The sequence below is a fragment of the Homo sapiens genome, chromosome 2, assembly GCF_000001405.40.
Source record: "Homo sapiens chromosome 2, GRCh38.p14 Primary Assembly".
In the NCBI taxonomy this organism is placed as follows: Eukaryota; Metazoa; Chordata; class Mammalia; order Primates; family Hominidae; genus Homo; species Homo sapiens.
The window spans coordinates 10,324,744-10,339,859 of record NC_000002.12 but is presented as its reverse complement, the minus strand read 5'-3'; the positions used below and the strand labels follow the sequence as shown (position 1 = coordinate 10,339,859).

At 50.3% G+C, this 15,116-nt stretch overlaps 1 protein-coding gene across 16 annotated transcripts in view, besides 5 other annotated features; it reads right to left on the bottom strand.

Moving 5' to 3' along the window:
• The window catches only part of HPCAL1 (hippocalcin like 1), a 124,701-nt gene that overhangs the window by 87,745 nt on the left and 21,840 nt on the right, over nucleotides 1-15,116 (bottom strand). The window contains exon 1 of one of the 16 annotated variants that reach the window (NM_001258357.2): nucleotides 9,650-9,697. The exons of the other annotated variants lie outside the window; for them this stretch is intronic. The gene's annotated coding sequence lies outside the window, so the exon portion shown is untranslated. Of the gene's footprint in view, nucleotides 1-9,649; nucleotides 9,698-15,116 lie in introns of those variants that run through there. 16 annotated transcript variants of the gene reach the window in all.
• Nucleotides 7,660-8,247: an enhancer, noted in NCBI's record as "H3K4me1 hESC enhancer chr2:10471739-10472326 (GRCh37/hg19 assembly coordinates)". NCBI's record gives its function as "activates a minimal SCP1, AML or CMV promoter by ChIP-STARR-seq in naive H9 embryonic stem cells {active_cell/tissue: H9 hESC(naive)}" and the evidence as "EXISTENCE:reporter gene assay evidence [ECO:0000049][PMID:30033119]".
• Nucleotides 7,660-8,276: a biological region, named in NCBI's record as "H3K4me1 hESC enhancer GRCh37_chr2:10471739-10472326".
• Nucleotides 8,077-8,276: an enhancer, noted in NCBI's record as "active region_15302". NCBI's record gives its function as "activates an Ori minimal core promoter by ATAC-STARR-seq in GM12878 lymphoblastoid cells {active_cell/tissue: GM12878}" and the evidence as "EXISTENCE:reporter gene assay evidence [ECO:0000049][PMID:35858748]".
• Nucleotides 8,647-8,696: a silencer, noted in NCBI's record as "silent region_11162". NCBI's record gives its function as "represses an Ori minimal core promoter by ATAC-STARR-seq in GM12878 lymphoblastoid cells {active_cell/tissue: GM12878}" and the evidence as "EXISTENCE:reporter gene assay evidence [ECO:0000049][PMID:35858748]".
• Nucleotides 8,807-8,906: an enhancer, noted in NCBI's record as "active region_15301". NCBI's record gives its function as "activates an Ori minimal core promoter by ATAC-STARR-seq in GM12878 lymphoblastoid cells {active_cell/tissue: GM12878}" and the evidence as "EXISTENCE:reporter gene assay evidence [ECO:0000049][PMID:35858748]".

Sequence of the window (15,116 nt, the reverse complement as noted above, 5' to 3'; positions counted from 1 at the left end):
CCCCAGGAGGCCCACAAGCCTGGGGCCTCCGTTTCGCCAGCCCTGTTGCTACGTCCTGCCGGGCATGAACATGGCGAGCTATCTCCGAATCTTGCTGTGTAATCTTACATGCTCTGAGCCTCAATTTCCCCATCTGTAAAGCACAAATAAGAGGACCTACCTCATAGGATTGTTGTTTTTTAAACTTTTTACTGTAAAAGAGTTCAAATATGGCTGGGCGCGGTGGCTCACGCCTGTAATCCCAACACTTTGGGAGGCCAAGGCAGGCAGATGACTTGAGGTCAGGAGTTGAAGACCAGCCTGGCCAACATAGTGAAACTCTGTCTCTACTAAAAATACAAAAAAATTAATCAGGCATGAAATCCCGTCTCTACTAAAAATACAAAAATTAGCCGGGCATGGTGGCATGTGCCTGTAATCCCAGCTACTGGGGAGGCTGAGGCAGAGAATTGCTTAAACCCGGGAGGCGGAGGTTGCAGTGAGCCGAGATCGCACCACTGCACTCCAGCCTGGGTGACAGGTCTCAAAAAAAAAAAAAAATTAGGTGGGCATGGTGGCGCCCACCTGTAATCCCAGCTACTCCAGAGGCTGAGGCAGGAGAATCACTTGAACCCGGGAGGTGGAGGTTGCAGTGAGCCGAGATCATGCCACTGCCCTCCAGTCTGGGTGACACAGCGAGACCCTATCTCAAAAAAAATTTTTTTTTCAAATATACATAAAACAGAGAGATGAGTATAATGAATGATGGGCACCCATTCCTCAGCTTCGTGCAAACAAGTCCTGGCATGTGTGTCTGTCTGTGCCCTCACTCCCATCCTGCTGCTTCCTGGCAAACACATGGCAGCCACACATCCCTCCATCTCCAGCCACCTCAGTGCCACAGGGCTGCTTTGAGAATTAAATGAGATAACAGGAGTAAAGCACTTAGTTACAGTAGCAGGCAGGCAGTAAGTACTCAATAAACATTAGCTTGTATTCCATGTGATTATCAAATTAATGACCAAACCCCACCACTGCACCATGCTTCTGGCTGCCTCCATCTCTGCTTTTTCCTCTATCAAGTGGAGGCGACGCCACCTCTCCTGGACACTTTGTGGATACGCCTCAAAGCTCTACGGAATCCATGGAGGTGAGCTCTCCGACCTGCACCCTCCACGCACGTGGTGTCAAGGGGTCTTGCCAAGCTGACTCTGGGTGCATGTGGGGTCTGCACCATAACTCAGGACTGTGGCTTACTGACTTCATACATACCTGGTCACCAACACAGCACTGGGCACAGAGTAGGTGGCTGAACAATCACAGGTCCCGCTCCGTGACACCTGCCCCAGCCAAGTGACCCACCAACTTCATCTCACGGAGTCTCATGCCAACCCTACGAAGTAGGAATGATCCCTACTTCACAGATGGGAAGACTGAGACTCAACGAGGTTATGCAATCTATTTGAACACCACACAGCTGATATCCAGGCCGCACTGATCCAAAGTTCACACCCCATTCTCTTATGTTGCCTCCCAATAATTTGTCAATTTGCTTTGTGTGTTTTTAAGGGGTACGATTCAGTGATTTTCAGTTTATTATTCACCAGGTCCTACAGCCACCACCACTATCTAATTCCAGAACGCTTTTCATTACCCCCAGAAGAAACCCCGTGCCCCTTAGGAGTCGCTTCCCATCCCTCCTCCCCACTCCCTGCAATCACGAATCTATTTTCTGTCTCTTTAGAATTGCCTATTCTGCACCGCTCATGTACACAGAATGATAGAATATGTGGTCTTCTAAATGCGCCACTTCTAAAAAAGTCACTCTCCTTCATAAACAGCCACCTCTCTGCAGTTCTGTTGACTAACAGGATTTATGGAGCTCCCCTGACTTTCTCTAAAAATAGTAAATCCCCTCCCCAAGTCCAGTGATAGTCAGTGATACCTAAATACAGACTAAGCCGGCGCAGCCATGGCCGACCCATCCTCAGAGGGCAGGCTCGGAGGTACTGCCGGGAACATTGACAGAGACCATTCCTAAGAACCAGCCTGCACCTCCTGGGGGACTGAGAAACCAGCCACTGAGGACTGTGAAAAACGGGGCACAAGAGCAGGAAGGGAAGGTGGGAAGGAAGGGGCTGGGGGAAGATCTTAGCCACAGCCTCCAAAGGCCAGAGTGGAGGAGAAAGAGCCCAGAACAGAGCAGGGCCAGGGTCTACGCCTCATCCCCAGCTGTGCAGCCCAGAGCACATTTCTCAGCCTCTCTGAGCCTCAGGCACCTTGTCAGTGGAGGAGTGGAGAAGCACCTGCAACCCCACAGGGAGGCTGTGAGAAGTAAATAAAACGTGGAAATAATTTGAAAACTACCAAGCTAGATATGCTGTTATAGTCACGGTGGGCAACCGGGGAGCCAGGGACTATTTCTACCTAATAATATTGTTCTTCTTTTTTAAATGGTCATCAGGATGAATAATTACCTATAATTCACAGCAAATGCAGTGACAGTTAAAACCTAGCTGACATAATAAATAGTAAATACTTTACAAATATGCATATTCCTAATGTAGCAATTCTACTTGTAAGAATACGTGAGGAGGCACGAAGACACGAAAGGAGGGGGAGGCAACTGCTCATCACAGCACGTGGTGAGTGGTCTTGGCTCAAAATCCTCCCTCCCTGGCCTCCCTATGGGAGGGGTCTACTTCTAACCCCGCCAACACTGGTTGGGCCCCAGGGTTTGCTTCAGCCAATGCAATGTGAGGGGAACTGACACGCACCACATAGCCATTCCCACGTCTGAGCAGAAGCTTTAAGAGGTATATTGTTCCTGCCGGGTCCAGTGGCTCACACCTGTAATCCCAGCACTTTGGGAGGCTGCGGTGGGAAGAACACTTGAGGCCAGGAGTTCAAGACCAGCCTGGGCAACATAACAAGGCCCCCATCTCTACGAAAAATATAAAAAGTAAAAATTACCCAGGTGTGGTGGTGCATACCTATAGTCTCAGCTACTTGGGAAGCTGAGGCAGGAGGACCACTTGTGCCCATGATTCCGGGGCTGCAGTGAGCTATGATAGCACCAGAGCACTGCAGCCTGGGTGCCACAGCAATATCCTGTCTCTAAAGAGGAAAAACAGAAATAGAATTATGTTGTTCCACCATCTTTTTTCCCTCTGCCATGAGACCAGCAATGTCTCAGATGGGGCTGCTCTGAAAGCCTGGCTCCCTGAGGGACAACGTCATAGAGCAGAGCCACAACCAACAGGTGATGGTCATGTCACTTGAGGGACAAAGAATTCTTCATTGCTGCAAACCACTAAGATTTGGAGGGTCATTAGTACCAGAGCATAGCCCAGCTGACCGACACACAGTCATGTTCCTACTAATGCAAAAGTGCAAACAACCTACACGTCCACCTAAATAAATAAATGACCCATCTCCACAATGGAATGTCAATAAAATGATGTATACATTGGCATAGAAGAACATTCTCAATACGCTGCTAACTGAAAAAAGCAGAGTATAAAATAGCATGAACTGACAAAGGATTAGTCTCTAGAGTGAAAAAAAGAAAATCTACAAATCACTAAGAAAAAGATAATCCACCCAAAAGGAGACTGGACAAAGGATATGAACATGCAATTAATTTACAGCAGAGGATACGCACATGCAATTAATTTACAGCAGAGGATACGCACATGCAATTAATTTACAGCAGAGGATACGAACATGCAATTAATTTACAGCAGAGGATACGAACATGCAATTAATTTACAGCAGAAGATACGCACATGCAATTAATTTACAGCAGAGGATACGCACATGCAATTAATTTACAGCAGAGGATATGAACATGCAATTAATTTACACCAGAGGATACGAACATGCAATTAATTTACAGCAGAGGATATGAACATGCAATTAATTTACAGCAGAGGATACGAACATGCAATTAATTTACAGCAGAGGAAAGCAGAAAGGACAATAATGTATCGAAAATATGTCCAACTTCACTAGAACTTAGGGAAGTACAAATTCAAATAATCATGAGATACTATTTTACACCCATCAGAGTGTTCAGATGTTAAAGTCTGACAACACAAGTGCCGGAGAGGTATGAGGAAAAGGAGCTCACTGACCCTTGTAGAGGGGAGTGAAACTGCCACAAATGCCTTGGAGATGAATTTAGTAATAAACAGTACTGTTGAGCGTGAGAATACCATAGCACCTGGCAATTCCACTGCTAAATATTCTAGACCTCTAAGGAATTCTCAGGGTGTGCTCGTATTGGTTATCTGTTACCGTGTAACAAATGACCCTCCAAAAGTCAGCAGCCGAAAACAACAAACATTATCTCACAATTTCTCTGGGCTGGGAATCTGGCTCAAGGTCTCTCATGAGGTTCCCCTTTGCTGTTTTCAGGGCAGCAGTCTCATCCGAAGGCTCAGCTGGGAGTGGGGAGCGGATGGAGATCTGCTTCCAAGCTCACTCACATGGCTGTTGGCAGGCCTTGGTCCCTTGTCACCTAGGCCTGCCTCTCCACAGGACTGCCTTGAGACATGGCATCTGGCTCCCTCCAGGGCTGGCAATCCAAGAGGGCAACAGAGAACACCCAAGCTGGCAGCTGCAGTCTTTTTATAACCTGATGTCAGAAGTGATGTCCCATTCCTCCTGCTGTGTTCTATTTGTTAGAATCAAGTCAGTTAAGTCCAGCCAACACCCGAGGGAAGGGATTACACAAGGGTGTGAAGACCAGGATGTGGGGACCAGTGGCGGCATCTTAGAGGCTTCCTTCCACAGCACTCAAGGAGGATCAATATTCATATGGCACTCTTTATACTAATGAAAAAATGGAAGTGACCTAACTGTATATGACTAGAGAAACGATGGCTTATTTAGACAATGGGGGCTGGCACAGTGGCTCACGCCTGTAATCCCAGCAATTTGGGAGGCCAAGGCAGGTGGCTCACTTGCGCTCAGGAGTTCAAGACCAGGCTGGGCAACTTGGCAAAACCCTGACTCTATAAAAAATACAAAAATTAGCCAGGCATGTACCTGTAGTCCTAGCTACTTGGGAGGCTGAGGTGGGAAGATTGCTTGAGCCTGGGAGGTGGAAGTTGCAATGAGCCGAGATCGTGCCACTGCACTCCAGCCTGGGTAACAGAGCGAGACCCTGCCTCAAAAAAAAGTCAATGGAATTGTATACAGCAGTTAACAAAAAGGAGAAAAAAGAAGACCATGAACCACATCTATGTATCAACATGGATACAGCTTAAAAATTGTTGACAAAGTAGTCAAGAACAAATTACAAAGTGATATATATATATACCATTTATGAGTATTTCTTTCTGTTTTCTTTTCTTTTTTTTTAAAGACAAGGTCTCACTCCACTCCATCATCCAGGCTGGAGTACAGTGGTGTGACCACAGCTCACTATCACCCCAAACTCCTGGGCTCAGGAGAGCCTCCCACCTCAGCCTCCTGAAGAGCTGGGACTACAGGTACATGATGCTGCACCCACCTAACTGTTGTTGGTTTTTTTGTTTGTTTAAAAAACAAAACAAAACAAAACAGGGTCTTGCTATGTTGCCCAGGCTGGTCTTGAATTCCAGGCCTCAAGCCTCCTCCTGCCTCAGCCTCCCGAAGAGCTGGGATTACAGGCGTGAGCCACCATGCCTGGGCCACCATTTATGAGTATTTCTAACACATAAAAACTAATGTTTTGTTTAAGGTTACGCACATGTGTAGCAAGAGCGTAAAACGCGCACAAATATGATCCCTACTTCCCTCCGCAGAGTGGCTATTGGTCACTGGGGAAAGAAAAGAGTAGAGAAGAGGAGAGATGGGCTTGGGCTGGCTCTGTAATGCTCTACTGGAATTTATAGTACAATCAATCAAAATAAAACAAAAATATGGTCTTATTTTTGCTAAAACATACCCACATTTCTGTTACACATATCTACAAAGCATCTGTAAAATCTGGACACAGATGACATTATTTTATTCCTTTACAGGTTGATGTTCTTGATGGCATTAGGTCTCTTCACCTATGTTTCTAGACTTTATGCACACTTCTGGAGAGGCAGAAATGAGTCTGGAGGGGTATAGCTCAGAATGCTAATAAAAGTTATATGGAGGTGGGCAGGGTAGTTATGGGGGAATTTTTTTCTCTGTTTTTCTGTGTTTTCCAGTCTTACCAAAGAGACATAGAATATTTGGGTAAAGAAATAAAAACTTTCTTCAAAAATCAAATCAAACTCAAAGCCAAAATGGCCACAGCTGAACACCAAAGCACACCAGCTCTGAGAGCACAGAGCAATTCCAGGAAGGTTTGCCTGGGAACACAGCTGCCCACGTGGGAAGAGAAGGTGCTGGGCCACAGGAGGCTGGCTTAGGCTGGCTTGGGCTACGGTGATACATCTGCCAGCAGGATCCCGAGAGGTGCCAAGAGGCTGCAGCCCACCCATCCCTGGAGGGAATGGCCTCCTGACTTTGCTGAAAGGAGGAAGTTGTGAGGCCAGGCTGGCTCCTTGACCTCCAACAGACAGCAGGGGTCAGATGGAGAAACGTTACACCAGTTCCCCAAGACAGACACAAACATCCACAATTCACTGTGACCACCTGATTCACGCTCCTTGGTAATTTCCCGAGTCTCTCCTGTGAAAATGCATTAGTTTTATCGTAGGGAAATTAGTAAACTTTAAAAAGAGAAGAATCTTTGTCTAGCATTTACAATGCCCAAGAGGCTGATTAAAGACCCAGTGCAGAGATCGTCAGCAGGTCAGGCCCCTGGTGGCAGCGTCCAGGCGTCATGGGGCTCAGGCAGGGCCCACTGTGCCCCACACATCCAGTGAGCCCTGAAATCTCCCACAGAGCCCCAACAAAGACCCACCCTGCCCCTCCCCCCTGCACCCCTCACCCCAAGATCAAACTTCACTCAGGCTCCTCTGAGCCCTCTTTCTGCCTCCTGTCTTCAGCCTGCCTGGCCCAGTCTCAGCAAGAATCCTGCTTAGTCAGTTTAGTGAGCCTCTCACGCCCTTCACATCTGACCACCCTTGAGATCCAATCAGTCCTCATCCCCACCTTTGACATCAAAGTCCCCCCCTGCCTTTGGCAAGAATCCCCCTACCTGTGATGTCTTCTCGCAGCTACTTTCCACTCACCCAGCCCACTCCACTTCCCAGCTCTGTCCCTTCCTTGCTGTATTAGGAGTTGGGCTGATCTCTCCCCTGCTGATAAGGTCAACCCCGACTGCATTTTCCTCGAATAAAGCTGTCCTCACTGTTTTAACAAGCGTCTGACTCTTATTTTCCTCCAAGCCTGCAGCCCAGCTAGGGAGTACAGGGGCCCGCTTCACCCCTTCCCTGCACGGCTACCCCCCACCTCCCACCCTGCCTTGCCCACCCTAGGCAGAAGCTGTTCTAGATAAGGGGCAGGGGGCACCGAGGGGCTTCCTGAGAACCGCAGAGGGGCGGGCCAGGGGCTAGAGAGGAAGGAGGAGGGTTCTAGAGAAAATGGAAACCTGTGGGCAGATGGAACTTTGAAAAAAGGAGAACATCATGATGCAACTCAAATGAAGCTTAAATGGAAGGAAATGGTAAATGCTCAGATCAGATGGAGAAGGAGGGGGAAGAAGCTGACGGGATCATGGGTGGGTGGAGAGAGCAGTCAGGCTCTGGGCATGACCTCAGCCAGGTCGAGGTACTTCCCCTCTGAAGCCACTGTCCTGTGATCGTCCCCAAAAGCAGGAAGGGAGAAGCAAAGTGAGTACACCTGACAACGGGTGACAAGGAGCGCTCCCTCTGAAGCAACAAGTGACACAGGGCTCATAAATGACAATGGGTGACAAGGAGTGCTCCCTGTGAAGCAACAACAGGTGACACGGGGCTCATAAATGACAATAGGTGACAAGGAGTGCTCCCTGTGAAGCAACAACAGGTGACACGGGGCTCATAAATGACAACAGGTGATGAGGAGAGCTCCCTCTGAATCAACAGGTGACACAGGGCTGTCTCGTAAATGACAACGGGTGACAAGAAGGGCACCCTCACCACACACAGGCAGCAAGCCCAGCTGGGGCCACCACAGGATTGGCCAATGTCACCAAGCAGTTGATGGCGGCTTGTTTATGTCCCCATCCACAAAAGACTAGAAACACCATGCCAGACGGGGAGAAAGATGCATGCGGGGGAAGAGACAGATGCCTCTGACAGCCGGGCGTGCAGTGGGGGGCAGACAGCCTCACACCCATCCCTGGACCCCGGGCACAGTGCAGCTGGGCCCAAAGCACACACTGACTTCAGCGCAGCTCCACCACCAGCCAGCGCTTGGCCGTGGAAAAGCTCCTGGGAGGGTGTTCCTGCCCCGGAAAACCTCGCTGCTGCATCCGTTCCACCAGCAAGGTTTCCTGAGTGTCTCCTGGGTTCAGAAACGGTGTCCTGTGGGACAAGGGACATGAAGAAAGGAGCCAGCCCCGTGCCTGCAGAACTCCGAGCTCCCCGGGGAGACAGGAGGAAACGCAGGAGGAGGGGTGACGATGCGTAGGTGGCGAGGTGAGGAAGGAGAGGGCGCTCGGGTGACAGGAAGGGCGCCTGTGGGCTCAGGAGGCAGGAGAGGCGGACGTGCTGAGTAACAGGCAGCCAGCACCCTGTGGCTGGGCCGGGGGCACCTGGGGGCAGGCAGGAGAGTCCAGGCTGTCCCCAGAGCCCGCCCCGCCCTCTGCAGGCTCTTGGCAAGGCCCGCATGCAGTAAGAGGGTGCGGTCACTTGCAAGGCTTAGAGAAACCGCTCCTGCAGCCGGGAGAGCAGATGGGAGGCCACGAGATGGAGCGAGAGGCGGGATGAGGAAGAAGCCAAGATGGCAAGACACAGAGAACTGGAGAGGCCGGGGCTGCAAAGGAGGCACAAGCAACAGGCTTCCCGCTAAGGCTCTCCGAATGCAGGGGTGGGCTTGCTGCACCCCCAGGCTGCACCCAGAAGCTCTGACTCAACCAGCACGGTGTGGGCCTGGGAACCTGCATTCTCACAAAGATGATCGGGGTCCGCAGTCGGAGACACACTGACAGAGAGCCCCTGCCGTGGGCAGGAAGTGAGTTAACGTGGACTGAGTGTGTCCCCCACAAAACCCCTATGTGGAAGCCCCAATCCTTACTACCTCCAGATGTGACTGTATTTGGACACAGGGACTTTGAAGAGGTCATGAAGGTAAAATGAGGTCACTGCGTGGCTCCTGATCTAGGGCTGGTGTCCTCACAAGGAGACTGGGACTCAGACACACTCGGAGGGATGGCCGTGTGAGAACAGAGGGAGAAAGGGCTACACGGAGCCGAGGAGAGAGGCCTCGGGTGACACCAACCCTGCCGCCACCCTGTCTCAGACATCAGCCTCCAATACTGTAAAAAAAAAAGAATTCCTGTTGTTTAAGGCACCCAGACTATGACCCCGTTTCCAGCAGCCAGAGCTGACTAATACACCGGGAAGGTTAGACGACTCAGGGCTTGGTGGGGAGGGGCAGGGTGGCCCTTGCTCCAAAGCTGCTGCCCTTCGCCACTCTCCTATGAGGACTAAATAAGAATAAGCATTCTGGGAATTGCAAACATCCACCAAAAAGTCAGGAATTCTCCTTTTGTCCATGTCAGAAGCATCTAGACTGGGACCTTCTGAGCACGACTCACCAGCCCCCATTCCCTGTGGCGCCGACAGACAGCCCCGAACACAGCATAAAGGCCGCTCTGAAAAAGAAAGCATCTCTAGCTTGCCACATAAATTGTGCATAGTCTCTAAAAGGAAAAAAAAAAAAAATCAAAGGACCAAGATTTAAATAACAGGAAGTGTTTTGAGGGTTGAAGACCATTTGTGCAGGTGTCACGAGACCAGGAACTCCTTCCGTGTGGCCCGACTAATCCTAAAGCCAGATTCTTGGAAACTTACCCTGCTCGATATGGCCTCGGCCTGCATCCCCAACTAGGTCAGTCAGGCAGGGCCTGGAGCTGTCTCTTCTTTAGAAAAAAAGCAGCAAATCTGAGGCCGAGCTGATGTGACCAACGTCACCTCAAAGCACTTTGTAGAACCATGAACTTTGCATTCCTGCAGCTGGGAGCCCCAACCCAGGCCCACCTGGAGCCCAGGATCTGGGCCTGGGCAGGGCTGGGATCCACGGGTCAGAAGCAGGGGAAGGGATCACACTGGAGGAAAAGTCAAAAGCAGAGACAAAGCCCGGTGTCACTGCTGTAACAAATCAACCTAGTGGCTTACACACCACAATCGTGTTTTCATACAGTTCTGTCTGTGGACACAGGTCCCACGGAGACTGTGTCAGTAGGGCTGGTTCCTCTGGGGGACCTAAGGGTGGATCTGTTCCCTTGCCTTTTCCAGCCTCTGTAGGCCACCACACTCTGGCTCAAAGCCATTCCTGTCAGCAGAGCCAGCAGTGTTTCATCTCTGCGTCTTCTTCCAGAGTCACACCTCCCTCGGGCTCACTGCAGCTGGGACAGGTTCCTTACTTTTATGGACTTACATGAATACAGTGACTACACCCTGGTAATCCAGGATACTGTCCCCACCTCAAGGTCCTCAATCTTCATCACATAGCAAAGCCCTTTACCGTATAAGGCAACATATCCGCAGGTCCCAGGGATTCGGATGTGAGCATCTGAGGGGTGGGAGTTATCCCGCCTATCACAAGACTGTTCAGGAAAGATTCAATGAAGCTTGGAGCAATGAGTCTCTAAATTCTAGGTGCATAAGAACCCCTAGAGACCAACAGTGGCGGCTCACATCTGTAATCCTAGCACTTTGGGAGGCCGAGGCAGGAGGACACTTGAACCCAGGAGTTGGAGACTAGCCTGGGCAACACGGCAAGATCCCATCTCAAAAAAATTAAGTAATTAAAATTAAAAATTTAATTTAATTTAGGAAGAACCCCTCGGACAGCTTACAGGCATTTAAAGGCTCACCACTAGTGATCTTGATGAAGGAAGGGAGTGGGGGTGGGGTGTCAGCAGGAACCTGTATTCTAATTAGCTTCCCCAGCAACCCCCCACATGTCGAACAAAAGGGGCAGAGAAAGTTCAGATGGGGAAGTATTAGTCAGGGTTCTTCAGAGAAACAGAGCCAATAAATATATAGAAATAAACAGACAGAAATGTATTATGAGGAATTGGTTCATGTTATTATGGAGGCTGAAGAGTCGCAAGACCTACTGTCTGCAAGCTGGAGACTCAGGAGAGCCGGTGGAGTCACTCCAGCTCAAGCCCAGAGGCCTGAGAACCGGGAGCTCCATGTCCAAGAGCAGCAGAAGGTGGGTGTCCCAGCTCAAGCAGAGAGAGCACATTCACTCTTTCTCTACATTTTTGTTCTAGCTGGGTTCTCAATGATTGGATGATATCCACCCACACTGGTGAGGGCAGATCCTTACTCAGTGTGCCAGTCTCTTCCAGAAACTCCCTCCCAGACACAACTTGAAATTATGCTTTACCAGCTACCTGGGCATCCCTTGGCTCAGTCAGGCTGACGCATGATATTAACCATCACATAGGTCAGCAAACATTACTGAACACCTGCTCTGTGCTGGCACCACTCCAGGTTGGGGTTCAGATGCATCTGAGCGCCAATGTAAATCCTGCCACCCAGGAGCTGTTAACCCTCAGACAAGTCACTTAACCTCTCTGGGCCTCAGTGTCCTCCTCTGTAAAATGAGATCCTGGCCATCACCTTCCTATTGCAGAGAGTTCCTGGGGATACAAAGGAGACCACACACAGAACCAAGTGCCACAGGCATGTGCCACTGTCCCCCTTGGCTGTCTTTCCGCATCACATAGGGCCAGGCCATTCCCACAGCTGAGCTACATGAACAGCTACACCATGAACAGCTTGTGGACAGAAATGACCTCAACTTAAGTCTTTTACACTTACTAAATCTAATGCGCCTTTATACATGAAGCTTCTGATATATCAGTCAGGAAATGAAAGTTATGGATCCGGGGCTAACCATAAATCACCCACTTATGAATGTATATGCAGTAAGTCATTAATGTTACCACTGTCTGCAGAAAGTGCTACACAGAGAATTCAGTCCCCTACAGTTTGGCTCTAAATAACTCCACTCTCTGCTGGAATAAGCCAAGGCTCTTGGCCAAAATTAAGTCCTGGCTGAAGGTAAGAGTACTTATACCCACAGATGACTATGGAAAATTGGTTCCCAACCTAGTCTTAAAATAAATACCAAATCAGAAAAAAAAAGCCATTGATCCCCATGTTAACAAAATAAAGGAACTAACACAAATGCAGTTAGTTGAATATATACTACGCTCTATAAAGTATGATATAATATACTTTAGGATATAATAGCTCATATAATCCTGACAATAGCCTTACCAGGTCAGTATGATTTGCATGTCAGGAAACTGAGGCTCCAAGAAGTTAACTGACTTGCCTGGGGCTCACAGGGCCAGGAAGCAAAGAACCAGAGTCTAATCCCCCACCTGACGCTAGCCACTCGGCAGGGGGCTCAAAAGAAGTCACTGGTATGATCCTTCCTGCAGGCCATCCATAACAGCTACCTAGAGAGTTACTTTACACATTCTGGATGACAGAACTACTACCTACAAAATGCATGTTTTGAAATTCTGTTTAACACGATCTGGAGCAATGCAAACAAGGCAAAGTTCTCCCACTCTTAGCTGTGGCTGCAAATCCCAGGAGTTGGGGGAAGGTGAAGCTGGATTCCCAGTAGCATCAGAGACCTCCCCACAGGCTCACTTCCTTAGGAGATGCTGCAGTGAAGAGGCACTTGTACTCCCCGCTAAAATGTAGGACCCACAGAAGAAAGTCAGGGTCACTTCAACATGCTCTGGCCACCTGGGAGAAGGAGTTCACTCTGGTTGGGTGACGAAGGGCTTCCGAGGAGCCGACACCCAGAGCTGAGCCAAAGGGACAACCGAGACAAAGAGCCGGGGCATGTGGGGCACAGCAGGGGCCCAGCTCAGCCAAATCTAGGGAGAGTGGAGGACAAGCGGCTGCCATGGCCAGCTGCCAAACGGGAGCCTCGGCATCTGTCAGCGAGCACCAGCCAACTTTCAAATGCACAGGGAGGGAGAAGGGGGCACTCTCAGATTCTGCCCAAAGGGACCAGTCACACCCACACCCTGTGCTCATGAACGCTGCTGAGGAGGAGCTTGAGGACCAGGGGCGCTGGACAGAAATCCCTCCTCATGCAAGGGGCTCAGCAGGTCTCCAGCCAGCTGAACACCTCCTCTCCTTTGATTCCCACCTTAACCCAGTCTGCTGGCTGGTGCAGGGCAGCCTCACCTACCTTCACAGCTGAGAACAAGGGGCTCATGGCACGGAAGCGGAAGGCAGGCAGGCCAGCACGCACCCCAGGCGGCCAATTCCCCCCACAAGTCTCCAGCCAACACTGCCTGCCCCCACCTCACCTCCAAGGAGCAGCCAGCCAAGGTTCTGAAGCAGGCCCAGCCACAGGGCTCCTGCCATCTGCTTTAGAACCTGTGATGCCAGCCTCCTTCAAACACACTGAAGCCACCTCCCGCCTTCTGTCACCTCACTGGGGCTGACTGGGCAATATCTGCCTGTAGCCCCTTGGCCAGGGACCCCTTGAGGCAGGGAGATCTCCCATCTGCCCTTATTTTGAGAAGAAACCCTAAGAGAACATGGCTAAGTTAACGAACGTTTACCACCCACCCCTCTTCCTTCTGGGTTGATTCTGTCTGGGATGCCTTTGTTCACCAAGCACCTAACAGGCATGAGTACCCTGAGATGGTGTCGAACCCAGAGAGGATGACGGACAGGCCTGACGAACACCATCCTTGAATCTCATGGCCCTCTGCAGCCTCGTGGGCCTCACTTCCAAGCAAACACTCCATGACTGTTCAGTGGCTTAAATGTTAACCCAACAGCCTATTTCCTGCATAGAGTTTTTAAATCCCCAACTGCTTCCTCATTTCCCAACAACTTTCCCCCAACACAGTGGAAAAAGGCCAGCGGCTCCCATGCAGCAAGGAAATGGCCATGGTGCCCAACAGAGGTGCTAATTGGCCGCAGCTGGGCCTGGGACCAGCAGGACCGAGGTGCAAAGACACCTGCAGCAGGTGCTCCCGGGCTTCTCCCAGCCAGGAAGGCAGATGTTTAAGATGAAGCACCTGCAGCTGTGGCTTGTGACGTCTTAAAGCCATGACTGCATTAGCAGTTCCCTCTGCAGGGATGCCCTGAAATAAATATCAAGGCAGCTCTGGCCCGGTGTGGGGAAGCAGGGAAACCGCCCTCCAGGGCCTGCTTAGCAGGATGCTGGCGAGGAAGGTTGCTGGAAACCTGCTCTGAGCAGGCCTCTGCAGAAGCAGGCAGTGGGGACAAGCAGAGAGGCACAGGGAGAACAGTGCCACCCTGGCCTGGCACTGGGGACCCCCACCAACGCTGGCACTGCCGCCTTGGAGCCCTGAGACTAGGGACAAATCACCCTCTGAGTCCCGGTGTTCTCGTCTGTAAAATAATGATAGCCTCAGAGGCTGGGGCTGAAAAATAAGTAAACTTAAATGGGGATGTGGGAGAGCACACCTGTGAACTGAAAACCCTGCAAAAATGTAATTACGATGTCGGGAGGATCGCCTGAGCCCAGGGGGCCAAGGCTGCAGTGAGCTATGACGGCACCAGTGTGCTCCGACGGCACCAGTGTGCTCCAGCCTGGGCCACAGAGCGAGACCCTCTCTCTAAAATCAAAAACCAACTAAAACAGCAACCCGGCTGGGCACAGTGGCTCACGCCTGTAATCCCAACAGTTTGGGAGGCCAAGGTGGGTGGATCACTTGAGGTCAGGAGTTCAACACCAGCCTGGCCAACATGGAGAAACCCTGTCTCTACTAAAAATACAAAAAAAAAAAAAAAATTGCTGGGCGTGGTGGTGCAGGCCTGCAATCCCAGCTACTCGGGAGGCTGAGGCAGGAGAATCACTTGAACCTGGGAGGTGGAGATTGCAGTGAGCCAAGATCATGCCACTGCACTCCAGCCTGGGTGACAGAGCGAGACTCTGTCTCAAAAAAAAAAAAAAAAAAAAAAAACACAAAAACCAGCAAACCCAATATTGCAAACAAAATGTAAAAACCAATAACAACCCCACCCCCAACACAAAGC